The sequence below is a fragment of the Homo sapiens genome, chromosome 2 (genome assembly GCF_000001405.40).
Source record: "Homo sapiens chromosome 2, GRCh38.p14 Primary Assembly".
NCBI classification, from domain to species: domain Eukaryota; kingdom Metazoa; phylum Chordata; class Mammalia; order Primates; family Hominidae; genus Homo; species Homo sapiens.
Window position 1 is genome coordinate 235,620,728 of NC_000002.12, and position 26,409 is coordinate 235,647,136.

Genomic DNA, 26,409 nt, shown 5'->3' on the forward strand with positions numbered 1-26,409 from the left:
GTTTCCCCAGCACCTAGACAGGACCTAGCCAATGCTAGGCCCTTTGTCGATGTTCGTTAGGCATGCAGGTGAACAAGTGAATGAGTGATCCTGAGTTTGCTCTGGTTTCCTTCTAGTTGTGGGAAGTAATTCCTGAATTGCAGCCCTACAGCTTTTATTGGTGACAAGTTCTTGACTCCCCATCACCTCTGATGGAGGGGGCTGGGGTCTGTTGTGAGTTCAGGAGCCAGGGGGCTGCATCTGCGTGTTGGCTCTGCTGCTGAAGTGGCTGGATGGCCTTGGAGATCTAGTTAATTTTTTTCCTTTTTTTGGAGACCCAGTCTCGCTCTTGTCTCCCAGGCTGGAGTACAATGGCACAATCTTGGCTCACTGCAAACTCCACCTCCTAGGTTCAAGCAATTCTCCTGCCTTGGCCTCCGGAGGAGCTGAGACTACAGGCGCCCGCCACCACACCCGGCTATTTTTTGTATTTTTAGTACAGATAGGGATTCACCGTGTTGGCCAGGGTGGTCTTGAACTCCTGACCTCTGGTGATCCGCCCACCTCGGCCTCCCAAAGTGCTAGGATTACAGGTGTGAGCCACCACGCCCAGCCGATCTATTTAATTTCATTGTGCCTTGGTTTCTTCATATGTTTCAATAAAATGGGTATGTTAACAGTCTCTACCTCCCAGAGTGGTTGGGGTTACGTGAAGTAAGCTTAGACACGGCCGAATGAGCCAGAGCCTCTGCTGCTGCCATTGGCGTTGGCACCATTCTTACCTCCTATACCTACGAGGCTGTCATGTGAATGTGTCAAGGGCCCTGTCACGTCTCTGAGCCGGCTTCTCTGGGCACTGGCTGGGCTGACCCCAATGGCCCCTGCCCATCATGCATTTAGGGGCTCCTCTGACTCCAGATGTCAGTGACCCTTCTGGTCTCTCCAACACAAGGGTTGGTCATTCCCTGTGCCCATTGTTCATGCATTGGAACTTGGAGTGCCTGCTCTCTGCCCTGGGTTTATGTCCTAAGGATTTGAAGATAGAAGAGGCACAGCAGTCACTTGGGAGCTATTCCCAGTCTAACAGGAGAGGGCACATGGCAGTAACCCCCTGGGAGCGGCTGCTGATGTTCTGGCTCTCTGCAGTTGGGTAGGAGTGGAGGAGGGGTGCGATCGGAAGGGAGTGCCGCGCAGACCCCCCCACCCCCTCAGAACAGCGGCCACTGTGTGGATGTTTCTGACGGCCTCTTACAGACTCTGTCCTTTTTGTTGTAGCTGATGGAGCAGAATTTTAAATGCATTCCTCTAACTAGTGGTCAGCTTGCTACTGTCCAACCTAAGCTCATATTCAACACTTTAGAATGCCTTAATCTTTTCTTGTTGTGTTTTGAATAGGTTACATGCAGACATCCAAAATAAACTTTTTTTTTTCTGTACAAAATTAGATTTAGCTAAAGTAGCTTAGGTTTTATAAAAGCTGATGTTCTTCATGCTCTTCCCAATTTTGGGAAAGGAGCCTTCGTCTTTGCTTCCTAGGAATGGTCATAGTCACACCAGCCCTCCTGCTGGCTTTGTAGAATGCTCACAGTGGAATAGACTGTCAGCAGGTCCTGAGATGTGACTCTGGACAGCCAGTGGTCTGTAGCATTCTCATCCTTCAGAGCTCCCTGAGCTTCTTCACGGCCACGCTGCTCTCCTGCATGTCCGCCCATCTCACTGGGGTGATGAATGGATCTAGACCTGGTGCCTGGACTCAATCTGCAGAGACAGGTGTCTGGGATCTGAAGACAGCAGTTGGGGAGGACAGTGTTGGCTGCTGCTGTGCTTCCTTTAACTGAACCCCGGTGGCCCAGTTGCTCCTCTTGGTGGACTCACTAAGTCAACTTTGACGCTTCAGCCAACGTCGGTTTTGAGAATGCGACCTATGAAATTGGGAGCCCTGGCTGGATCAGAAGCACATGGTTCAGTGGACACTGTCAGAGGTGCTGTGGATCACTTGGACCACGGTAGCTAATGTTTGTAGCGCGCTCACGTATGCCAGACTCTTCTTAGCGCTAAGCCATTTTCCCAGGCCGGGTTATGCAGTGAGACTTCAGGGCAGGCACACATGTCGCTTCCTGCACCCACACTGGACAGTCATTGTAGAAAGTAAGATGTGATGTTAATAGTCTCTTCTTGGAGTCAGCACTGCTTCACGGTCCTATTGGCATGAGAACCACGTCCCCAGCTATTCCCACCTGCACACTGGAGGGAAGCAGGAGGGGAACAAAGTCAACAGCAATGACTGTCGCTGAATCTTAAGTTTATTCTGGATTGAGAAAAGTGGAAGAGGTTAGAAGCTAACTTGGACATTCTTTTTGGGGGAATAGATGTCTCTCATGCAGCTCATTTTCCAGTGGATTGCCTGATGTTCTCCAGGCTGCTACAGCTATGATATTTTAAAATCAATGGGCCTTTCCTTTCATTTCGAACTTTCAATACAGCTGCAGAAACAATGCATCTGAACGGATGGACTGTTTTGGAGATTTATGCGTGTTCTGCAGGCTGACCTCTGCTTGTTGATCGTATTACAGCATGTTGGGCATGTCAAATGAATCTGGGCGTTAGCCTACAAATCAAGATTTGCTTTGCCTCGTTGTGTAAATATCGGCAAACCATGTTTTGGGGATGGAAAATTAGTTAATTTGGAGATGGTGGGTTATTAGACTTCACTTGGTCTGCACGTGGTGGCTTTGGGATTTGCTGCTTCAAGGTTTCAGGATGACACAAGCCATCGGGTTGAGTGTGTTTGTTTCAGCCCCTCTTGCTGAGCACTTCTCTCTTCCTGTTCCTGTGCTGCTGGGCCTTCACAGCATGGTGCTCCCAAGCTAGTTGCTGAAGCTGTGGGCCATTGAGCCAGCCTGGAGATGCATGGTAGGTTAGGGTGCTGTGTTGCAGGTCTGTGATGCAGTTGCCATATATTTTTTGACTTTTGGATCTTCACTCCTCCCCTCATTTTGGACATTTTCTCAGAATGAATGATACATCTCTGCTTTCAGCCTCCCTAAGCCATTAATTTACATGTCAGATTTTTTTGAGTATTGTAGTTTTTTTCAATATTTATGGAATGCTTAGTATTTGTAATGCAACAAAAGGTCAGAATTAATAAGGTGTAGTGCCCAAGAGGAATATTTTGTTTCCATTTTCAAGATGATTCCAATTTGAGCTGTCTCCTGGAGAAGTTGGATCCATTTGTGTTTCTGAGTGTGCTTGTAAGCAGTCTTAGGGGATCTGTCACTGCTTACTACTAACAGAAGAACACCAAAATAAGGCCAACCTGCTCCCAGGCTGAATCCAGGAGAGCCAGTGGCCAAATATCAGCTCTGCAGCCACCGTTGCAAGTGAGACTTTGTGAAAGGAAACTTCTCACCATTAAATGTACATTTTATCTTAACCGTTGAATGTACAGGATGGTTCAAATACTAAAAACTGGAGAAAAGACCATGATGGATGTCATTTCTCCCTGATGGGACATTTTACCATATTTGCTTTCTCTGTATGTTGTGCGTGTTGGTGTTTATGGAAGAAACACCTACAGATACAGTGGAAGTCCCCTTGCCCCCTTCTCTGTTCTGTTGAAGATGGTCTGTCTTTCCCATCTGGATCTCTTTCCTCCGCTACTTCTGTGTCCTTAGACAGTAGATGGTGCTCTGTGTGCATGAGGGGAAGCACCTACAGTGGTCGCCTGCTGAAGATGTCCTTCAGTGGTTGGAATGGAAAAACAATTGTTCTGCTACATGTTGCTCTGGTTCTTTCATTTTACCTGCTCTAGAATATTCCATTTAGAACTTAAAATATTTCATTACTTAAATATTGCTTTTTCTGTTCTGTGTGCTGTAAAGTGTATGTGCGTGTGTGCTGGCATTGTAATGTTTGTGCTTGTGGGGAGGATGGAGGAGATTCTGATTTTGCCAGGGGTCTCAGCTACAGCCCCTCAGATCATTGCAGGTGATAGGGTTTGGAAGTTTGTCCCCTTCAAATCTCTTGTGGAAATGTGATTCCCAGTGTTGGAAGTGGGGCATGGTGGGAGGTGATTGGATCATGGGGGCAGATCCCTCATGAATGGTTCAGCACCATCCCCTTGGTGATGAGCGAGTTCTTGCTCAGTTAGTTCATGCAAATTCAATTTAAAGGAGTATGCCCCTTCCCCACTCCCCGACCCCTCTACTCATGCTCTTGCCATGTGATGTCCTGCTCCTCCTTCACCTTCTGCCATGATTGGAAGCTTCCTGAGGCCTCACCAAAACAGATGCTGATGCCATGCTTTCTATACACTCTGCAGAACCGTGTGCCAATTAAACTTCTTTTATTAATTACCCAGCCTCAGATATTCCTTTAGAGTAATGCAAGAATGGACTAACACAGCAGGTGTGATCATTGGATGAGGAAGGCTCTCGGAATCATTCCAGGTGCCTGCTCTAGACTCTTGGTGTTGCTCTTCTTTCCTTCATGACCTTGAACTCTCTGACTCCAGCAGTCCCCTCTGCACATGCCTGAACTGCTTCAGGGCACCCTACAGGTCACTCAGGCCTCCAACTCTGGGGTGATGCCTTTAGCAGCATTGAGTATAAGGTGACCTGGAGGAGGTGTGAAGACCTGCGCATGTGGACAGTTTGAAAGCCTAGCTGAGGCAGCTGGAAGAAATTCATGGGAGTCCTGCATCGCTGAGGTCAGGGGAGGTTCTGTAAATCTGGGAGAAAGGTGCCTTTCCTTTGGAGGGATGGTGGGTTTCAATGGTTTGAAAGAGAAAACCATGCTTTGCATGTGTCTTTTTACCAACCCAATGAGATTGCTGATTTTGCAAGTACAAGTCACCAGATTTTAGTTGTTTATAAACTTCAGCTTAAAAGGTGGGGTTAATAGGGAACAACATAAATGAGGGCAGGTGTGTGTTTCAGGGATCTTTGTGCAACTTTTCTAAATACAGAGTTGGTTGTGACATATTCAGCTGGGGGAAAATAGTCGTCTGAAATATATTATGGTTTGTTTGTAGCTTCAGCTAGTACTTTTCATTGTAATCATGGCTCAGGTTTCTAAGAGAAAATTAAAATAATTTAGGATGTTGCCCCACACTATTGGGAGGTGTAGATGTTGCTACTGCATCTGGAAAGCATTGTGACAACATGTGACCAAGTATTAAAAATGTTCTCACATTTATTCTTGAAATTCCACACAGAGAAAGGTGTTTCGGGGAAGTAGAATATTAGCAGAGCTATTTGTAAAAATAATGCACAGGCATTTGCTGCTGTATCCTATGAGCGAAAAATTGGGAAGTGTGATATCTGTGTCTGCCTCCATACTGTACAGAAATCACTGAATATAGGCCAGTGCGGTGGCTCATGCCTGTAATCCCAGCACTTTGGGAGGCCGAGGCAGGTGGATCACTTGAGGTCAGCAGTCTAGACCAGCCTGGCCAACATGACGAAACCCCATCTCTACTAAAAATACAAAAAAAAAAAAAAATTAGCCGGTTATGGTGGTGCATACCTGTAATCCCAGCTACGCAGGAGGCTGAGGCAGGAGAATAGTTTGAACCCGAGAGGCAGAGGTTGCAGTGAGCCAAGATCACGCCACTGTACTCCAGCCTGGGCGACAGAGTGAGACTGTCTCAAGCCAAAAACGAACTGAATATGGCTGACACTCTCTCCCTCATAAGCTTGCTTGTTCCATTAATGGGGAGACCCATGTAAGGTCTGGGTGCAGTGCATGGCACATGGGAAGTGTGTGTGACAGTTAATGGTGGCGTTTTTTAAAAGTACATATGTCTATAGCAGTCTGGAAAGGCATACGCCAGAATGTTTGTGGCAGTGACAGTGGATTTTATAAGTGATTTTTTTCCCTTTACATTTTTTCTTAAATATGCATTTCTCTTTTCCTCAATGAACACGCTAATTATGTGAACAGTTATTTAAGAAGAAGTAACCTGAGTAATACTAAAAATGTATTTTCTGAGGGGCGAAAGTATAGTTGAAGTAAAAAGTTTTAGTGCACTTTCCAGAATGGGCTGGATGGTGACTATTTTAGGTTTTGAGGATGGTACCGTCTCTGGCAACTCCTCAACTCTTGTAGGGAGAGGTACAGACACAAATTGGCATGGCGTGTTTCAATAAAACTTTATTTACAAAAACACATGGTGGGCTGGATTTGGCCTGTGGCCCATGGCCTGATCTCTGTTCTAATATGTCCCATTAAGGACTTTTGTTTTTGAAATCCACTGATAGTGGGTCATTCCAGCGCATAGATATGTTGGGTTTATTTTCACTGTTCACATAACGTAAGTTTGAAACCCAACTGTCTTAAGTTGAAAAGTAAGACATAGCGTGGATATTGTTTTGTTCTTTAATTTTACACTGCAGAATCCTTTTAAGAAAACAATTCAGTCTATCTTATAAAGGGGAGTGGCATTGTCCCCTGCTTTTCCTGTGCTGGCCCCAGGCTGTTTTGAGGTTTTTTTTTTTTTTTTTTTTTTTTGATAGGGTCTCTGTTGCCCAGGCTGGAGTGCAGTGGCGCGATCTTGGTTCACTTCAACCTCCACCTCCCGGGTTTAAGCAATTCTGCAACCTCTACCTCCCGAGTTTAAGCAATTCTCCTGCCTCGGCCTCCTGAGTAGCTGGGATCACAGGTGTGCACCACCACACCCAGCTAATTTTTGTATTCTTAGTAGAGACAGGATTTCGTCATGTTGGCCCTGCTGGTCTCGAACTCCTGATCTCAAGTGATCCGTCCACCTTGGCCTCCCAAGGTGCTGGGATTACAGGCGTGAGCCACGGCGCCCGGCTATTTTGAGTTCTTTATGTTGGGCATGCTGATCCCCCAGCCTCAGCGTCTGATCGTCTTGGTACCAAGTCCACTGCCCGTGGGGCTTATTTTGTGGTGTGAGGTGAAGCAGCAGCATCTGTTGATTTTGGGGTCTGTGTCCCCCAGATTGCCCAGGATAGTAATAGTAAAATGCCTCGTCCCCGGCTCAGCCCTTAGTCTCCCATTGCAATACTCCTGTTTGAGATTATTCACAGTTGGGGCTCATGTCTATTGCTGAGAAAGAGAAATGGTTTTTCTTGGTGATTTTTCTCAGTGCTTTGAATGTTATTTTTGAGTTCTGGCCAAACAGAGATGGGACAAGGTCAGAACTAGAAAAATATGTCCTATAATCTTCTCAATGGGAGGGAGGAAGAGGTTCCCTTAGGAGCATGAACTTAGGAAAGGAAATGGTGCGTTTGGTGGAAAAGAAGGGGGGCATAGGCTGAATTGGGACAGTGCCCTTGACTGACACAGGGAGAGGGTCTGAGCCCCCCATGCACTTACTGGGCAGGCTTCCCCCCGAAGCAAGGTGGACCTGCTTCCAGTGGGAGGAGAAGGGGGAGCACTAGAGCCCTCCGTGAGACCATTGACTGCACTGGGGTAGTTCAGTGGTGAGCGGATGGGGAGAAGGCAGGGCCAGCCCCCAGCACACGTCAGGCACTGTCTGGGCACCTGTGCATTGCTGCCTACAGTCCTTTCAGAGACTCGGCAACTCAGCGAGAGTCCCTCACTTGCCTGTGAGCTGCTCCACTTGGTGGAGGAGCTGCTGGGGCAGAGGATACTGAGCCTGACCACTGCCCTGTGCTTGTTCCTGTCCCCATGGAGGAGCACTGGACTTGTCCAGGGGCACCTAGCAGGGATCCAGGGACCCAGGCAGGGCCGGAAAGGGGATGTTCTTTGCATGGATTTCTGGGAATGTACTTGGCAGAAGGGAAGCCTGGGAGTGAGCTCCAGGCAGAAGAACAAGCAGGTGGAAGTGCCCGGTTCTGGAAGAGCCCAGGGTATCTTTGGGGGAAGATGGAGACAAGATTTGGTGGGTCCTTGAATGCTCTGGAAAGAAGGGGGAGCCATTGCCCACCTCTTTTTTTTTTCCATAGGTTATTGGGGAACAGGTGGTGTTTGGTTACATGAATAAGTTCTTTAGTGATGACTTGTAGAGATTCTGGTGCACCCATCACCCAAGCAGTGTACACTGCACCCTATTTGTAGTCTTTTATCCCCTGCTTCCCCTCCCATCCTTCCCCCCAAGTCCCCGAAGTCCATGTATCATTCTTTTTTTGTTTGTTTGTTTGTTTTTTGACTCCGTTACCCAGGCTGGAGTGCAGTGCTGTGATCTTGGCTCACTGCAACCTCTGCCTCTCGGGTTCAAGCAATTCTCCTGCCTTAGCCTCCCGAGTAGCTGGGATTACAGGCGCCTGCCACCACATCCGGCTAATTTTTGTATTTTTAGTAGAGACGGGGTTTCACCATATTGGCCAGGCTGGTCTCAAACTCCTGACCTCATGATCCAGCCGCCTTGGCCTCCCAAAGTGCTGGGATTATAGGTGTGAGCCATTGTATCATTCTTATGCCTTTGTGTCCTCATACCTTAGCTCCCACCTATCCGTGAGAACAACAATGTTTGGTTTTCCATTCCTGAGTTACTCAGAATAATCGTCTCCAATCTCATCCAGGTCACTGCAAATGCCGTTAATTCATTCCTTCTTAAGGCTGAGTAGTAGTCATTGTGTGTGTGTGTGTGTGTGTGTGTGTGTGTGTGTGTGTGTGTGTGTGTGTATGTGTATACACCACAGTTTCTTTATCCACTTGTTGATTGATGCCACTGCCCATCTCTTGAGATGCAACAGGATCAGACTTGTTGGGGAGCAAGGAGGAAAGTGGGTGGTGGGAGGCTCTGGCCCTAGTCAGACACCGTAGACCAAGAAAAGGAGAACAGGACAGAGACATGAAAATCAGCAGGTGAGTATCGAGTGTCCAGCACAGGGGCCAGGTGTCCAGCATGGGGACTTCATGAGGTATTTTAAGAGTAAGAAGTCATTGAGGGGCCGGGCGCAGTGGCTCATACCTGTAATCCCAGCACTTTGGAAGGCCAGGGCAGGGGGATTGCTTGAGCCCAAGAGTTTAAGACCAGCCCTGGCAACATAGTAAGACCCTATCTCTACAATAAATGTAAAAAAAAAAAAAAATAGCTGGACGTGGTGGCGTGTACTTGTAGTCCCAGCCCCTCTGGAGGATCCCTTGAGCCAGGAGGTCAAGACTGCAGTGAGCCATGATCATACTACTGCACTCCAGCCTGGGTGACTGAGGGAGACCCTGTCTCAAAAAAAAAAAAAAAAAAAAGAAAGAACAGAAATCACCATTGATAATGTGGCATGAATAGACTTCATGACAGACATTACTCCAGAGATTTTTATGATGCTTTATTAATTAAAGTATCATCTTCAAAGCAGATGTTAACCACTTCATCACTGTATACAAAATGTCTGATTACATTTAATTTTTTTTTCCAGCAGGATGGAAATGCATTAAGATGAAACTTTAAAAATATAGGACTGTAGAAAGATTTTGTGCCAAATTAAACATATACTGAAACAAATAAGTTGTTTTTTGAAAACCCAGGGAGCTATCACACGATTGTTAATATTTTAGTGGAATTCCTCCTAAACGTCTTTCTGTACTTTTTTTTTTGAGACAAAGTCTTGCTCTGTTGCCCAGGCTGGAGTGCAATGGCACTATCTCAGCTCACTGCAACCTCTGCTTCCCGGGTTCATCCAATTCTGCCTCAACCTCCCGAGTAGTTGGGATTACAGGTGTGCACCACCAAGCCCAGCTAATTTTTGTATTTTTAATAGAGACAGGGTTTCACCATGTTGATCAGGCTGGTCTCGAACTCCTGACCTCAGGTGATCCACCTGCCTCGGCCTCCCAAAGTGCTGGGATTACAGGCGTGAGCCACCATGCCCGGCCCCTGTACATTGTTTTTTTAAAGATGTTTGAGATAGGGTTTGTAGCCTTATTAACACATTAGCATTTTTCCGTGTCGTGTTGTAATATTGCACATCCATGTTACTGGTAAGCTGTATTTGAGAAAGAATTAGGGGGTTAGTTTGGGGAGCAGCAGCTGATGTGTGCCTCAGTTCTCAAGTTAATTGGTCCTGCTCCTTCTCTGCCCTGGTGTGCCCCTCGGCTCGCCACTGGCTTAGGTGCAGGTACATTTGTCCTTCATCGGAACAGGACCACCCTCCCTTGGCTGCCACCATGGCAACGCTCAGCCCCGCTGCCTCCGTTTGTCATTTCTCCTCCTAATGATTTGAACTGAGGTCTGTGTGCTGGCCCAGCCCGTTGCGGGTCTGCATAATGTATGAACACGAGTGACAGCCAGCCGCAGCCCGATCAAAACAAAGAGCCGCTGCACGAGAGGGGCAGATTGCGGAAGCATATTGTGAACACATTCTCTGGTAACTGTGAATCGTGTCGTAAAACGCGTCTTTGGCCTGTCAAAAATATTTTGACAGGGCCCACAGTCTAGCTCCTTCATATGCAAATGCACTGGTAATGCCTGGATACCAGGGTTACACACTCAGGGAAAATCCACAGGACGAGGGCTGATGTTAGCAGGGTTCATTACTTCTGCAAATAAACACGTTGAAGAGCCTCCTTCCAGTGGGTAAATGGCAAACTCGATAACTGGAATGCTGTCAGATCCCAGGGTAACAAAAGGGTGGTGTCCCCTAAAGGCTTGGAAGGATTGAGTTAGGAGAGTTCAACTGAAAAGTCAAGCATGGCGCAAGGAAGGACGATGGATTAGCCAACCATGACCGGCCAGGCTGTGCGAGCTAGCCAAGGAGAGGCCACGAGGCGGGAGAGCCAAGGAGGACAGCCTCCGGGTGGGCCATCACTGCTGGTAGAGAGGGTTTCTGGGTCCCAGGACCGGACTGCGTGGTCCTGGTTATACCTGCTGGTCAAAGGTCAGTCTGCCAAGGCCCCTCCTTGTGAAGATGGACACTGAGGGCACCCTTCCTAGAGGACCTATTTCCTCTTGGTGCTCTTCTGCTTTTTGCTTCTTCCCTGGGCTTGCTTTCCGTGTGATTCTGGGCAAGTTGGTTAACCTCTCTGTGCTTAGGTGACCTTCGATGGCACGGGGGATAGCAGTATCTGCTTCACATGGTCAGAAAATTCTGTGAGGTGACACACGGAGCCTTGGAGCTGCCTGTGGCAGGTGGCGGTGCTAATTAAGTTCCGGCTGTTGTGACGGTCTCCTCGGCTGGGTGGCCCTTCCTGCTGTCAGGTGTGGCCACTCTCGTGAGATGCAACTGGAGGTGTTTTGTGGCAGCTTCTGGAAGGCCTGCCTTTGACCCTTCCTTTCTGCTTTTTCCATCTGTTACCTGCATGCATATATGATGGCTGGCCACCATCTGAGACTGGGACAGCAAGGGTCATGTTGGCATTGGAAGGGGTCTGGGTTTATGGGGTCACCAGCCTCAAGGGACAGCCCACCTGGAGATTTTGTTAAGGGGTAAGAGAAATATTCTTCTGTCTTGTATAAGCCACTGTTATTTGGGGTTTTCAGACATATGTGGCCAAGTGATTCTAATTAGCATACAAGGTGAGAATGTGTTATCTGCAAGATCCAGAGCTTAGCCGCCCTGGCAGTTCAGTGACTTAAGGGGAGTTAATGAACTGGTTTTCTGACTTCATCTCCCACCACCAGAGCAGTGTTCGCATGAACTGCCCAGCCAGCTGTCCCCAGGAGCTAAAGAAGTCAGTTTCTGAGCTTCAGAGCCTTTGGCTATCCTCGGGGTGCCTCAGAGTAGTGAGGGCAGCTCTGGGGGACTGGGACCTCTCAGCCTCCCCTCTGCCTGTGTGTTCCTCCATGGAGCCCCTGTTTCGCCACGTCCATTACGCTTGCAGTAGTCAGCAACTGCCTGGTGAGCTTTACATGCCTGATGGGCTTTGGTGAGCTGGCAAGTCTGAAACACACCTGGGGTCATCTGTGACCATCTGCTGATGGCCAAGTTTGATAGGGTTTATTTTTCCTTTCTTTGCTGAAATCGGGCTGGGGTCTTGGCAGCAATTGGGAAACTTTGATTGCTTCAGTTGCTTCAGTTTTTCTAGCTCCACCTGGCCTCCCTCTGGGGACCACGGTTCTGTCACCTCTCCTGCTATTTAGGTGGCCGTGTTTCCCATGCTAAACAGTGCCCGCTGATTTAATCAAGAGACTTGATAGCCGGCCATTGCACGTTCATCAGCCCGGTTTTCCTCTTGTGGCACCTGGTGGTGTGCTGGTGTGTGGTTTATAAAACATGCTCTGCCGCTTTGATTTCCCTGCTTAGATTTACATAATTGTTTTAGAAGAAGGTTCAGGTGCTTTGCTGGCAGAAAAAGGAAGACGACCTCTTGCAAAGTGGGGTTAGCCCTAGCCTTGCAGGAAGGGGTCTCGGCTTCCTTCCAAACCAGAAGCCCGTGGTGCAGCCTCTGAACCCCCGACTCTTGGTGGGCTTTTGAGTTCTGCTTTTGCTTGAACTTCTAGCGGCAGAAAGGGGGTGATCCCTTTCTTCTCCATCATAAGGGTCATGGCCCACATCCCTGTAACAAAAGACAGGTTAACGAGAGAAAAGCATTATACATTTACTTGATCCTGGTTTTACGGCATGCGGGAGCCTACGGAATGAAGACCCGAAGATTCAGGGGAGGTCGTCTGTGTGCCTTGGTTCCATGACTTGGGGGCAGCCAAGTAGAAGTGGAATTGGACAAATAGGGCATGAGCGGGCCGGGCGTGGTGGCTCATGCCTGTAATCCTAGCACTTTGGGAGGCCAAGGTGGGTGGATCACCTGAGGTCAGGAGTTCAAGACCAGTCTGGTCAACATGGTGAAACCCCATCTCTACTAAAAATACAAAAATTAGCCAGGCATGGTGGCGGGCTCCTGTAATTCCAGCTACTCGGGGGCTAAAGCAGGAGAATCCCTCGAACCCAGGAGGAGGAGGTTGCAGTGAGTCAAGATCGCACCATTGCACTCCAGCCTGGGTGACAAGAGCAAGACTCTGTCTTAAAAATAAAAGAGCTTGAGTGAATTGTCATAGATGGAGTGGGGAGACCTACAAGGCCTGTCTGTTCAGATTCCTCTTGGCCTCTGTGTAACATTTCTTCCTCTCGGGTATGGGATGGGACCCCTCTGGAATGAGGGTCTTAATTACCTTATGACAGCTTTACCTAAAAAGATGGGGGAAGGTTACAGTAATATTTTTAGGCTTATGGCTAGCTTTGGGGAAAAGGGGTTTTGGTTTCTATGACCTGTCTTAGGGATGAAGAATTCTAGTTCCTGTGGCTCAGGGGAGAATGAGGGGCAAGAGATCAGGAGAGCAGGAGAAGCTCAGAGAGAAACTTGGCTGCATCTGAGGGTGGCCTTTACTTTGGGGTATCAGTTTTCCGAGCCCCAGCAAGCCCCTCCCTGCAAAGTTGCAGCCCCCAGCAAGCCCCCCGCCGCAGAGTTGCAGCCTGGTGCCCTGATTTTCTAAAGATCTTGGGTGGGCGGGGCCCACAGGCATGGGGGAAGCGGTAGCTGAGGCTTTACGGCAAGTTGTGGGGCTTCTCACTTGATTTTCCCACAATTAATCTTGTCTGTCTCCTGAATTTCTTCAAGTCCTGATGATAAATTATGGCATATATTCCAGAATACATGTTTGAGTTTGCATTGGTGCATTGCTAGAGGAAAGCACCCAGTTCACTGTGTATCTCTGTGTACCTGTGTATTTCATCGACACATCCTTTGGAGTCTTAAACACAGCAGCAGCACTGTTGTGGTGATAATTACGCACCCTGCATATGGTACTGTTTAAGCAACAAAGAGCTGAGACTTCGGAAGGTTCCCAAGGGCATCCCTGAGATGGGACTCGGTCCTGTCACAAGCAGCTGTGGGAGCTGGAGCTTAGAAGCTGTCCATCAAAAAACCAAGTTTTTGTGTCAAAATGGAGTCTCTCAGGCTGTGAAGCAAGCCCATCTCTAATCAGTTCAGCCACCTGTATTGCAGACTAATTGTGACCAAGACACTGCGAATCATCAGAGAAAGCTGAGCCTTGTAGGGAATCTGGGGACAGCCGTAAGTTCTTCCTCCACATTCCATTTTAGAGAGGCTTGTGTTCCACATTTTTGTGGCTTTTTCCTCATCAGATTTCTCTGTGTTCTTGCTTTAGTTTGAAACTGAGAACACTAATTTTTTTTATTTTGATCAAAATAAAACCATCTTTTCAAAATGTCAAAATGTTTAATTTTCAGAGAGAATTGAGTTTACGTACCACGAAGGAGGCTCTGTTTTGTTCCGGCACACGCTTTGGCTGGTTATTGGTGTTAGGATGTGTTTGTTCCATGTACGAGTGGATGGAGCAGACAGTGCCTGGTCCACCCCCACCTCCTCACCCTCAGCCTCCCCCCCGCTGTAGACAGTGGCCAACCGTGTGTCCTCAGATCTGCATGGAATTTCCTGTGGCGCTTTCTCAATTCTGGGACCAGTTTTCCCTCTGAAGCGTGAATGTTTCCTCTCCAGTTGGGAATCTCCTGCCTCAGGACCTGGTGGTCTAGAGGTACTGTGGTATAAGTAGAAAGAGCAGCTGGACTTAGAGACAGGCGTCCTGAGTGTTGATGCCAGCCTTACCCTGACCCTGTGTGTGGCAGCAGTGGGTCGGTCAAACCTTTCCAAGCCTCCGTGTCCTCATCTGAAAATGGGAATGAGGATGCCTATCCGAGGTGACTTAGCAGAGGATGAAGCACTCCCGTGAGTGAGCTGCGCACAGTCTCCTTGTACAAGCAGGACATTTCTCCGTTTCTCCTTTTCTCTGCCCGTAGGATTGACTTTCATCTTGCCTGGTAATAAGCCCTCCTAGGAAAACAAATTACTCTGAAAATTTGTCATTTTGGTGTGGTGAATTCGTTCTTTTATTCATCATCCAAAAAGTTCCATTGTTTGAGATGATTCAACATGATTTGGAAACCATGGGGTAAGTCTCTGAGGAACAAGAAGACAGAAGAAAGAACGCACTTTGGTTTTCTTTTGGAAACCTAGAGCAACCTACTAGATCAATGAGTTTTCTAGGGAGGCATCAGAGTTAGCCATGGCACCTTCTCCAAAGCTGCCTCGCTCCTGCACTGATGCTGTGCTATGAGGAGCCACGTTGCCCGGAAGTCTGATGCGTGAGGCGGGAAGGTTAAAACTTGTTGGCTTTGGAGGTTTACTGATAGGTCGTTCTGAGTAGGACAAATGTTTTCCTTTCCGTGCTTTAAAAGTCTCATCTTAGACCGGGCACAGTGACTCATGCCTGTAATCCCAGCACTTTGGGAGGCTGAGGCAGGTGGATCTTGAGGTCAGGAGTTCAACACCAGCCTGGCCAACATGGTGAAACCCCGTCTCTACTAAAACTACAAAAATGAGCTGGGCATGGGGGTGCATGCCTGTAATCCCAGCTACTTGGGAGGCTGAGGCAGGAGAATAGCTTGAACCCGGAAGGTGGAGGTTGCAGTGAGCCGAGATCGTGCCAGTGAACTCCAGCCTGGGCAACAAGAGCGAGACTCTGTCTCAGTAAATAAATAAATAAATAAATAAATAAATAAATAAATAAAGTCTCATCTTATGGAGCAAAAGATTCTAAAGAGAAAGGCTGGTCCTGAATTTCATCCAGCTTGGTTCTGGTTTCTTCTCCTTTCTTCAGCGAGTGCAGGGCCTTTATCCTTGGGGCACCTTTCTGGGACTTTATCTGGCTGTGTGCAGACAGACAGGAAAGTGTCCCCTGCCCCCAATTTTTGGGATGACCACTAAAAAATGAACACACCCACTCAGGGAGCGTTTGTGGGATCACTGAAGTCAAATAATTTACACCCAGGAGAAAGCCCTTCGCTGTGGATGTGTTCATGCCTGTGGAAAGGGAAGTTGGCTATCTGGTCTCGAACCCTCAGTCACTGTCAGGGACGGCAGAGAACTCATCCAGAAACCAAGTGTTGATGTGAAGCCTCCCCTTCCAGAGGCCCCCCAGCGTCCACTCCCCTAGGCATCCCTCACTTCTGGACCCTCCACATCAGCATCCCATGACATTGGGCTAGACTCACTGTTCCAGGACTCCGCTGGCCCAGAGGTGAGTCGGCCTGACCAAGTCGTCGTGTCATCACTTGTTGGGGGTTGAAGTCCTAACGCCCGGTGCCTATGAATGTGATCGTCTCTCAGAATGGAAATAAGGTCGTCGCAGATGTAATTATTTAGGATGAGGTCATGCCAGAGTGGGGTGGGCCCCTCATCTAATATGATGGATGTCCTTCTGAGAAGGGAAATTTGGACGCAGATGCACAGAGGGAGAACATCATGTCAAGGCTGCGGTAATGCTTCTACAAGCCAAAAAGAATGCCAAGGATAACCAGACAGCCGCCAGAAGCCAGGACAGAGGCTCGCAGCAGACCCTCCCTCACCGCCCCTAAAGGAACCCGCCCTGCTGACGCTTTGATCTTGGACTTCTGGCCTCCAGAACTGTGAGACAATGTATGTCTGTTTCTGAAGCCACTCAGATTGTGGCACTTTGTTAGAGCAGCCCCAGGAAACTAAAACGTCACCTGACTCACTGTGGGATTCAGCATCTTGTACGAGGCAGGTGCCACTGGTCTCAGTTTCTTTGTCTGTAAAATGAGGCTAAGACCTGCTTTATACAGTGGTAGTGACAGTTTGCCCAGCACCTCCTAGGACCTCAAAATGTGACTTTTTTTAAAAGACAGAGCCTTACTCTGTCACCCAGGCTGGGCTGGAGTACAGTGGCGCGGTCATAGCTCACTGCAGCCTCGACCTCCTGGGTTCAAGTGATCCTTCCACCTCAGCCCCGCAAGTGACTAGGACCACAGGTGCATGCCACCATGCCTAGCTAATTGTATTATTATTTTTTTTTTTTTGTAGAGACAGGGTCTCACTATGTTGCCAGGTTGGTCTTGAACTCCTGGACTCAAGCTATCCTCCTGCCTCAGCCTCCTGAGTAGCTGGGATTACAGGTATGAGCCACCGTGCTCGGCCTTCATTATTATTTTTAGGACAAAAGTGAAGGTGGAAAGTTCGGACCAGTGGGCTGTATGTTTCAGAACTTTACACATAGGAAGAGGAAGTATTGTGTATGGAAGAAAGTGAGTGTTGCATTATTCAGGGTTCTCAGAGAAGCAGAACCATATGGAAGAGGAGGTCTGTTAGGGGAATTGGTTCGTGAGATTATGGAGGTCCAGAAGCCTCATGATCTGTCTGCACACTGGAGAACTGGGAAGACTGGTGGCATCCTTCAGCCCGAGAACCAGGAGCTCTGATGTCCGAGTGCAGGAAGAGACAGATGTTCCAGCTCCAACAGAGAGAGTGAGTTTGCCCTTCCTCCACCTTTTTGCCCTCTTTGGGTCCTCAGTGGATTGGGTGATGCCCTCTGCATGGGTGAGGCAGATTATCTTTACTCGTTCTACTGATCGAGCTGTTATCTCTTCCAGGAACACCCTCATAGACACACCCACAAATAATATCTTACCGGCTGTTGGGGCGTTCCTTGGCCCAGTGAAATGCCCAGTCAAACTGACACGTAACATTAACCATAACAGGTGTGGGTAGACAGTCAGGAGAGCAAGACTCTAGTTGGTTCTGTCACACAGCAGAGCTGCGTGGCCTGGGTATACTCCTCCCATCTGCCTGGGCTGCTGTATCCTGGGCTATAAGGTAGGAGGTTCGATCAGATTACCCTGAGATGTGCTGTGAGAGGTGAGTGTGGCCCCCTCACAGTTGCAGCTCTTCGAACGGGAGCCTGGAGACTCCAGGCCTATGTCTTGGGAGGTGCACTGCACAGGGTGGCTGCTCTGTAAACCTTGACTGAAGTCGTGGGGAAAACTGCAGTGTGCTCCAAGAACAAATTGTGAATAGAGACTAGTTAAAATAAACATCACAATGGCGATGGAAAATGTTATTTCACTTTATTAAGTTAAAAACAAGTTATAAAATAGTAGGTCACATATAAGCTCAGTTTTGTATTTAAAAACCCTCAAAACTGTATATATGCCCAGAAAAAAGACAGGAAAGAAAGATACCACAGTATGAATGGTGGTTCCCAATTAGTAGGAGAACTAGGAGCCATCATTGTCTTTGCTTTCCAGAGAATAATAGCGTGGTGTCCTGGAGTCACATGGCTGCTCTGGCTTGCCAGTGGAGAACAGGCTGAGGCCGGAGGAGGAGGGAGCAGCCAGGAAGCTGGTTACAACCCAGGCGGAGGGCTGGCGTGGGCCTCAGGGGTCTTCAGCCTCAGCACTATTGACATTTTGTGCCGGATAATTATTTGTCCTGTGCATGTCAGGATGTTCAGGAGCATCTCTGGCCTCTACCTACTAGATGCCAGTAACATCTCTTCCAGTTGCGGTGACCAAAAATGTCTTCAGGCAATCCAGATCAAATGTCCACTGGGGGGCAGAATCACCTGCTGAGACCCACTGGTTAAAATAGTGTCAGTAGGGGTGGAGAGAAGGGGACAAAAGAGTCTTAGAGCCATTTGAGAGGGAGCTTCTAGAGGACTTGATGGATGGAATTTGGTCAAGGCAGGAATGAGGGTGGATGTGGGGCATGGGGAATTGGACGGATGATAGTGGCCCACAGGTTGAGAGAGGGGATGGGTTCAGCTTTGGCCATGCTGTTGTGAGTCTGTGGTTCCCAGGGAGCAGCTGAGTAGGCTGTTGGGTGAGTGGTTCTCAAGCTCAGAGCTGAGCTGGGGGCATCCATTTGAAGGTTATGGGAAGATGGAAAGCACGCCCTGGAGGTGGGTGGGTGAGCTCACCCAGGACCACGGTGTGGCCTGAGAAGTCGGCCTGCGATAGAACCCGGGGAATCCCAGTGTTTCCAGGGTGGGCAGAGGAAGAGGAGGCTGGGAAGGGAATTTGTTTCTCTGGCCAGAGCTGTTGCTCAGCGACTGTTGGCTGGTGAGGATGAGGCTCATGAACAGATGTGGAAACATCGTGGGATGATCTCATGGTGGGTGGGACTTGTCGCCGTCATGCACTCAGCACTCTCTGGCCTTTATTGGTCAAGCTGCCTGCTGTGTTTCTGGTGCCCAAATGTTCTGGGCACACTGTTGTTTGGGGAAGAATCGCAGGGACTCTCCTTCACTCTTAGATAGTGGCAGCGCTTGCCTCGCTGCATCTCGTGTTCTCAAAATCAGCACATGCCATCCCACATTCTAGACCATCCAGTTTTGCTTCTCAGGCTCTGAAAAACACTTTTAAGAGCAGGTTAAACTGTTCTCGGACTTCTTTTTGGATTATTTGCAACGTCTTGAGGGGTCCACGGATTGATAGAGTCAGCAGGGATGGACAGTTTCCCCTTCAGCACCTTTATAGTTGTAATTTGCCCATGATGGGGTTAGAGACCCACAGTTGCTCAAAAGCAGTTTTTGTTTTTCTTGATAGCTGGATTTGGGTTATCTCTCAGGAAGCGGTTAGCAGTCTTTAGGGCAACCTAATTGCATTTCTTTGTTTACAAGCACTTAACTTCATCCCTCTCAGGCGCACACCAGCACTGTCTATCACTAATACTGGCAGTTCTAGGGTGAGGTGGACAGTTGCTCTTAGTCAGAAACTCACTTTGCTGTTTTCCACTAGATTCCCAGATAGAGAAGGACAGTTGTTTCAGGCAAGCTTAAGACCCTGTAACATTTCTTGCCCTTTTTGATTTGAACTCCCATCTCCCTAGCTCTGGCTTGTTTTACCCTGCAGTTAAAAGAGAAAATGATCTCTACTGGCTATATGGCCTCAGGCCAGGAGAAAAGGTGCTGTTCCTTCCAGCAGAAATTCAAGGGTCCAGGGAGGCTGGCCCAACCCAGGTCAGAAGGATAATCTCAGAAAAAGAAGGAAGCATGCATTACCCATCTCAGAACTTAGGAACAAGAAAATCCTAAAACTCCAAAGGACCATTTTTCCCCACTGACAGGCCCAGCTTAATTAGAGACCAGCTAGGAGTTGCATTTCCTGGTTGTTTACTGACTGTTCTCTTCGGTAAACAGCTTCAGCCTGTAATTAAGCTGTCTAATTGGCAATGACTGCAGGAAAAACCATGAATGGGGCTGGCCTCCCTCTCTAGCCCCTGTGTCTGCTGTCTGTTACCTACCACCATTTTTATTCCCCTGTCTTCTATTAAAAATGTCGTGGGGGCAAATTCTAAAGAATAGTCTAGGCAGGCAAACCCTTTGAACTTCACTTTGCAAACCTGCCTGAGAGTGAGTCTGAGAGGCAAATTCTTTTTCTTTCCACTTGAAGAAGTGTCAGAAATTTGGTGGATTGGAAAAGATGGGAGAGAAAAGTCCAGGAGTCCTGACTGCTTTCACTCATTTAGGTGGGCTGGCAAGCAGTGCTGGCTGCTCCACCTGTTTTCCTGCCTAATAACAGTGTCTTTTATAGTTGTCTGATAACAATGTCTTTTATAATGTCTCATAACTCTGCCTTTTTGTAATGACCGGCCTAATACCTTTGCCTACAATAGTTCTTTTTTCCTCTGGGAGTTTAACTCAGGTTGTGATTAGAGAGTATTTCCCATAAATCACGCAAAGCACATGTCCTGCCCACCAGCCAATTACAGAAATGGAGTTGGTCAGACCTACACTTTATCTGAAACAATGCATAATGGGAGTTTTGAACTAAAAAAATTACCCTCTAATGTTACAAATATGATTCAGGCAAATAAAACTGCAGATGTATGTGTAAGTCCTCAGTACTGCGATTCTTTCTTTCTCTCTCTCTTTCTCTTTCTCCTCCCTCCCTCCCTCTCTTCCTTCCTTCCTTTTTTTTTTTTTTTAAGTGTCCTGGTTGTGTTAGGGTAATTTGTGATTTAAAAAGAAATGCCTCTCCTCTCCCCGACCCGATTTTTTTTTTTCTTTTTTGGTAGGATGCCTCCCTTTGCATTCCAAGGCAGCACTTCAAGCAGCACTTTGGTAAATGTCAAAAAGTTGGAGAGGCTGAGTGGGTTGCGTGGCCCGTCTGTGCCTGTGGGCTCCTCTCCCGCCCACGCGGCTGTGCCTCTCACTCAGAACCCTGCCTCTCTTGTGTTTGTCCCAAGGCTTTACTTTCCCCCCCACATACGTTCAGTGGCATTATTTGTTACATTTTTAAAAATACATATTTTATTTATTTCACAAACAATGTTACTGGCATAATGTTACCACACTATAGGATATAATGGTTGAAGAATGATTTCCCATAATCTAATTTCAACACATTACCTGATTCAGTATTCTGTGTCCTCTCCAGCCTTGCTTTTCTCTGTGCACAGGTATGACCTGATTCCAGTGCTTTTTAAGAATTATTAGCATTTTCTGCATTGCTCCTTGGCCTTCACAGTTATCATTTGAACAGTGGCACAAGATTCTCTGAAACTGCTCCTCTGTCTTCATTCCCATTTTGTGAGCATTTAAGCCGTTTACTGTTGATTGTCCATTTCTTCAGGTATCTTCTTACATCATCTTGCTTCTTTACTCAGCATAAAGCCTCGTAGTAGATTCTCAGGTCCCAGGGGTGCACATGCCTGTGTTTTTACCTTACTTCCCCAGGGGCCCTCCAGAGGGTGCCCATCCACGGAGTGCGGCGCCTGCTCGACTTGGCCTTCTGGCACTGGGGATTCCTCTCCCAAGTCTTGCTAGCTCGTGGCATGTGCAATGGGATCTCTTTCCTGAGTGCGCATTTCTTTCCTCACATTTGGGGGCATTCAGTGGGGGAGGATTTACAAAGAAACTTGAGGTGAGGGGCCCTCTGCACTCAACCTCCTGGGACCTGGGGCTGCACCCACTGGCATTGATTAGAAGAGAGCTTGTGACTGAGGAAAACCTGGCTTAGGGATTTATCTGCAGGGACTGTCCCCAGTAGGTCTATGAGAGCCCACCACAGCAGCAGCCCTCTGGATGGGGATTTGGGTCTTGGTTTTGCCAGCACTCCCAGTGGACAGTCATGCCTGGACTTGTCTTCTCCACCTTCCACTTGTCCTAACAGCTGTCGGGACCATCATCCACCAGGGGCCAGCTGTCCAGAGGCAGACCCACCCTGGAAGGCAGGCCAGCCTCCGCTCTCCACACCAGCTTGGGGATGAATCAGCGGGTGCTCTGACCACTACTTTCCCAAGGCTACTTTGCTTCAGGAAGTTACAGCAGCCATAGAGGACTCTGCTTATGTGAGATGTGCAGACATAATTCTTGCTTTTAGAAGGAGGGGGGAAAATAGAGAAGTAGTTATCTCATTGTCTTGGAATAAAATTATTTTGCTTTGCAAAGATTAGGCAAATCCCAGGTTGCTGAGTCTTGGCAGATTTCTCGTGGCCTAGACTGTGGTGTTTGGGGCCGCCTGTCTGTAATGTGCTGCCATGACAAGGCACGGTGGTGGTGGGGACCTGGCAAGGTACCGAACGGTGGAGGTGACTGTAGGATTAGCCCCGGCTTTGCAGCAGGTTTTCTTGGGAGGAGAAAATACACAGTTGGGACAGACTCCAGGGACCAGCTCCTTCCCCCTTTTTTCTATTGCAGAGGGGGAAACTGAGGCTCAGAGAGGGGGACTGGCTGTGCATACATGGATTCTTTGAAATTTTAAAGGATGGCCAGGTGCAGTGGCTCGCACGTGTAATACCAGCACTTTGGGAGGCCGAGGCGGGTGGATCACGAGGTCAGGAGTTCCAGACCAGCCTGGCCAACATGGTGAAACTCTGTCTCTACTAAAAATACAAAAATTAGCTGGGTGTGGTGGCGGGCACCTGTAGTCCCAGCTCCTCGGGAGACTGAGGCAGGAGAATTGCTTGAACCTGGGAGGCGGAGGTTGCAGTGAGCCGAGATTGTGCCATTGCACTCCAGCCTGGGCAACAAGAGAGAGACTGGGTCTCAAAAAAAAAAAAAAAAAAAAAAAAAAAAAGAAAGAAAGTTTAAAGGATGTTAAAAATTTTCCACACATTATCTTTTAATGTGTTGTCAAGGAGCAATGATCATCATAATGGCACTGGGGAAATGGAAAAAACTGGAAAACTCTCTTGGTTTGACAGAAAGGGATAGATCTAACTGTTTAGTGTTGCCAAGTGAGCCCCCAAACATCTCCCCTGGAAAAGTCATTAGGAATTTACCATCTCCATCTGCAGGGGCCAAGTGAGATAACCGTATCTAGTATATCCATCTGAGCAAAACCCTGTTTCTCTTCCCTTGAATAGGAAGCCAGAAACTGCTGCAGCGCACTGTTGAAACATAGCTTAGAAATAGATACTTTGTGGGGGGAAAACAACCTACTTATCTTTCCCATTATGCTATCTCTTAATAGGGCCCCTGGTATCTGAGCCAGCATACACATTTGGTTCTTCTGTGTCCTGTGATCTTCCTCTGAGTGAAAACTGATTATCTACTCAAAGGAAGCAGATGACAGAGCCCCCGTGATGTGTGCTGCCTTTGCTCTGTGCCTCTGTAGTAAGGGAGGCCTGGAATGAGCAGAAAGATGGCTCCCCTGGCCACAAAGGGGGGTCAGTCTATTGCAAAGCAGCCTTCACGTTCTGGAAGCAGGGAGCAGTGGGAGCCCGGGAAGGTCAGCCTTGCAGACTTGTAGATGTCATAGGATTATTTGAGCTGCTTCCGCTGCAGGTGGTTGGGAAGTACTGGATGGAATCCTTGGAGGCGAGATGAGAGGATGGGAGAAGAAAGTCTGGAAGAACAGTTAGATTTCTTCCTGATTAGATAATACTGAGTGAGAGTGGGAAGAACGGAGCGGAGCCTGTTGCCAGCGCGATCTCTGTCCCGTTCACTGTCATGTGGCCTCTTCACGGATGTGTGTGTGTCTGCAGGGACTCCTGAGAGCTCTTGTTGATGTTTAGCCCTTGGACCTGCTGGTGCTTACACATACGTTTCCATGGAGTCTGTACCAAAACCACAGAGGATCGCCCCCGTTTATCTGAGAGTAGCTCATCATCATTCTCTGCTTGGGTGTAAATAGCTCACTGCAGAATCTTAATCCCCAGAACTGGAGACCAACCATTTTCTCTGCACTTGGAGGGAACCATTCAAACATCCCTGTTGGGCTAGCATGAGGAAAAGCCAAGTCAGGCGCTTGGCCACCAGGGGATCTTGGCAAGAGAGGCCGTGGGATTTGAGAGTTAGAACTGATATGCAGCACAGTGCACCTTGGTGCCAGAGTTCTGACCAGTAGTGTTGCGTCCATTGGTCCACTATGATCCATGGATTGGGAACCCCTGTTACTGATGTGTTGACGCTATAGCAATATTATGGTGTGTCAGCTTCGCTGTCTTTCAAGGATGACTTGCGTAGATTGCATTTAAGTATAGTGGAGCAACAGCAATCAAGGTGTAAGACTTTTTTTTTTTTTTGGAGACAAGAGTTTTACTCTTGTCACCCAGACTGGAGTGCAATGGCGCGATCTGGGCTCACTGCAACCTCCGCCTCCCAGGTTCAAGGGATTCTCCTGCCTCAGCCTGCTGAGTAGCTGGGATTACAGGTGCCTGCCACCATGCCCGGCTAATTTTTGTATTTTTAGTAGAGACAGGGTTTTACCATGTTGGCCAGGCTGGTCTAGAATTCCTGACCTCAGGTGATCTGCCCACCTCAGCCTCCCAAAGTGCTGGGATTATAGGCGTGAGCCACTGCACCCGGCCAAGGTGTAAGAGTTCTAATCTTAGGCCTTCATTCTGCCATATGACAAACAAAGTAGAATTACAGTTGAAAACTAATTAACTCTACATAAAACAAAAATGAAGAGGTGGGCTCACATACCTATCTCAAAGTTGCTCTGGAAGATGGATTTAGCCCATTTAAAGGAAGCTAAGGGATAGAATTCATGAGAAGTGAGGTCTCCGGCTTTGTATTTATTAGGGCACTATTATTAGATGGCAACAGATAGATCCCAAATTCTCAATGACTAACCAAAGGGATGTTTATTGCCCTTTCACATTAGGTTGGAAAGAGATGCTTCTGCTTAGTAACGCTCCTTTAGTGACTGGGCTCAGCCATCCAGGGCCACCGTGAAAGAAGAAGAGTTCAGAGAATGGGTCATTGCAGGGGTTTACGCCCCAGGCCTGGCAGGGGCACACAGCATTGCACATCCCCCTTCCATGGGTCAGCACGCAGTCAGATGACCACCCCTTCCTGCAGAGGGAGGTGGGGAGACAAGGTCGGCCTGAGTGTCCAGGGGAAGGAGAAAACCGGCACAGAAACAACTAGCCAGTCTCTGCTACCTGTTTCTTGTGTTAAATCAGAATTTATAGGAAGGTGATTTTTTAAACAGTTTAGAGAGCTTTTCTAATTTTTGAGCGAGGGTCTTGTCTGAGAATTATAGCTTGAGATAAGGACTTCAGAATCTAACAATTCTTTGCTCCATTGCTACAATTTCCCCAACCCAGAAGTGGTGAAACCAAGTCTATCAAGCTTCTTGGTTGACATCAAGAAGGTTGTTCTGGGCGGGCGCAGTGGTTCACACTTGTAATCCCAGCACTTTAGGAGTCCCAGATGGGCAGATCATGAGGTCAGAAGTTCGAGACCAGCCTGGCCAACACAGTGAAATCTAGTCTGTACTGAAAATACAAAAATTAGCTGGGCGTGGTGGTGGGTGCCTGTAATCTGAGCTCCTCGGGAAGCTGAGGCAGGAGAATCGCTTGAACCTGGGAGGCGGAGGTTGCAGTGAGATTGCGCCATTGCACTCCAGCCTGGGCAACAGATCTAGACTCTGTCTCCAAAAAAAAAAAAAAAAAGGTTGTTTTGTTTGGTAAACAGAAAAGGAGCCATCTTAAGATAATGCATCTTTATTTAACAGTTATGAATAGAATCTCTCAAGGTCCAAAATGAATCTTTTGAAAGAACTAGAAATTCTTGCCTGTACCAACCATATTAGCAAGACTTGAAATGCAACATTCTAAGATGTGCCTCAGGAATAATTTTATTGACCAAAACCAGACGTCAGCTTGCAGCCTTGTGAAGCCTCCTCTCCATGTAGGAACGGGGGGCATTTTGGTTAGCTGGGTTAGGCTTGCTGAATTTTAACATGACATGCTTGCTTTTCCTGTGTTGGTGTGTCGCTTCTCTCCCTTGGGCCCCCGCCCCTAACTTTTCCACCTGATCTCTGACTTCTCCATCTTTCTAACCCCTGAACAACAACTAGAGATAAGTTCAAGGTCACTGCTGGAACTGACCTTTGGGTGCTTGGGCCACCCTTAGGCCTTGAGAGGCACAGGCTGAGGCCTTCTGTACAACCTCCTGGCCAGTGTGGAGGGGCCGGGCTCCAAGCAAGCTTGTCCATATCACAGAAAGTCAAGAGTCTTGCCGCGTGCGGTGGCTCACGCCTGTAATCTCAGTACTTTGAGAGGCCGAGGCGGGTGGATCACGAGGTCAGGAGATGGAGACCATCCTGGCTAACATGGTGAAACCCCGTCTCCACTAAAAAATACAAAAAATTAGCTGGGCGTGGTGGCAGGCGCCTGTAGTCCCAGCTACTCGGGAGGCTGAGGCAGGAGAATGGCGTGAACCTGGGAGGTGGAGCTTGCAGTGAACCGAGATTGCGCCACTGCACCACCCGAGACTCCGTCTCAAAAAAAAAAAAAAAA

At 48.1% G+C, this 26,409-nt stretch overlaps 1 protein-coding gene across 3 annotated transcripts in view, besides 2 other annotated features; it reads left to right on the top strand.

Moving 5' to 3' along the window:
• Positions 1 to 26,409, top strand: part of AGAP1 (ArfGAP with GTPase domain, ankyrin repeat and PH domain 1) — a 637,751-nt gene that overhangs the window by 126,685 nt on the left and 484,657 nt on the right. The window lies entirely within an intron of this gene.
• Positions 10,492 to 11,365: an enhancer, noted in NCBI's record as "H3K4me1 hESC enhancer chr2:236539863-236540736 (GRCh37/hg19 assembly coordinates)". NCBI's record gives its function as "activates a minimal SCP1, AML or CMV promoter by ChIP-STARR-seq in primed H9 embryonic stem cells {active_cell/tissue: H9 hESC(primed)}" and the evidence as "EXISTENCE:reporter gene assay evidence [ECO:0000049][PMID:30033119]".
• Positions 23,058 to 23,352: a silencer, noted in NCBI's record as "tiled region #12909; K562 Repressive DNase matched - State 8:EnhW". NCBI's record gives its function as "represses a minimal TATA promoter and a strong SV40 promoter by Sharpr-MPRA in K562 cells {active_cell/tissue: K562}" and the evidence as "EXISTENCE:reporter gene assay evidence [ECO:0000049][PMID:27701403]".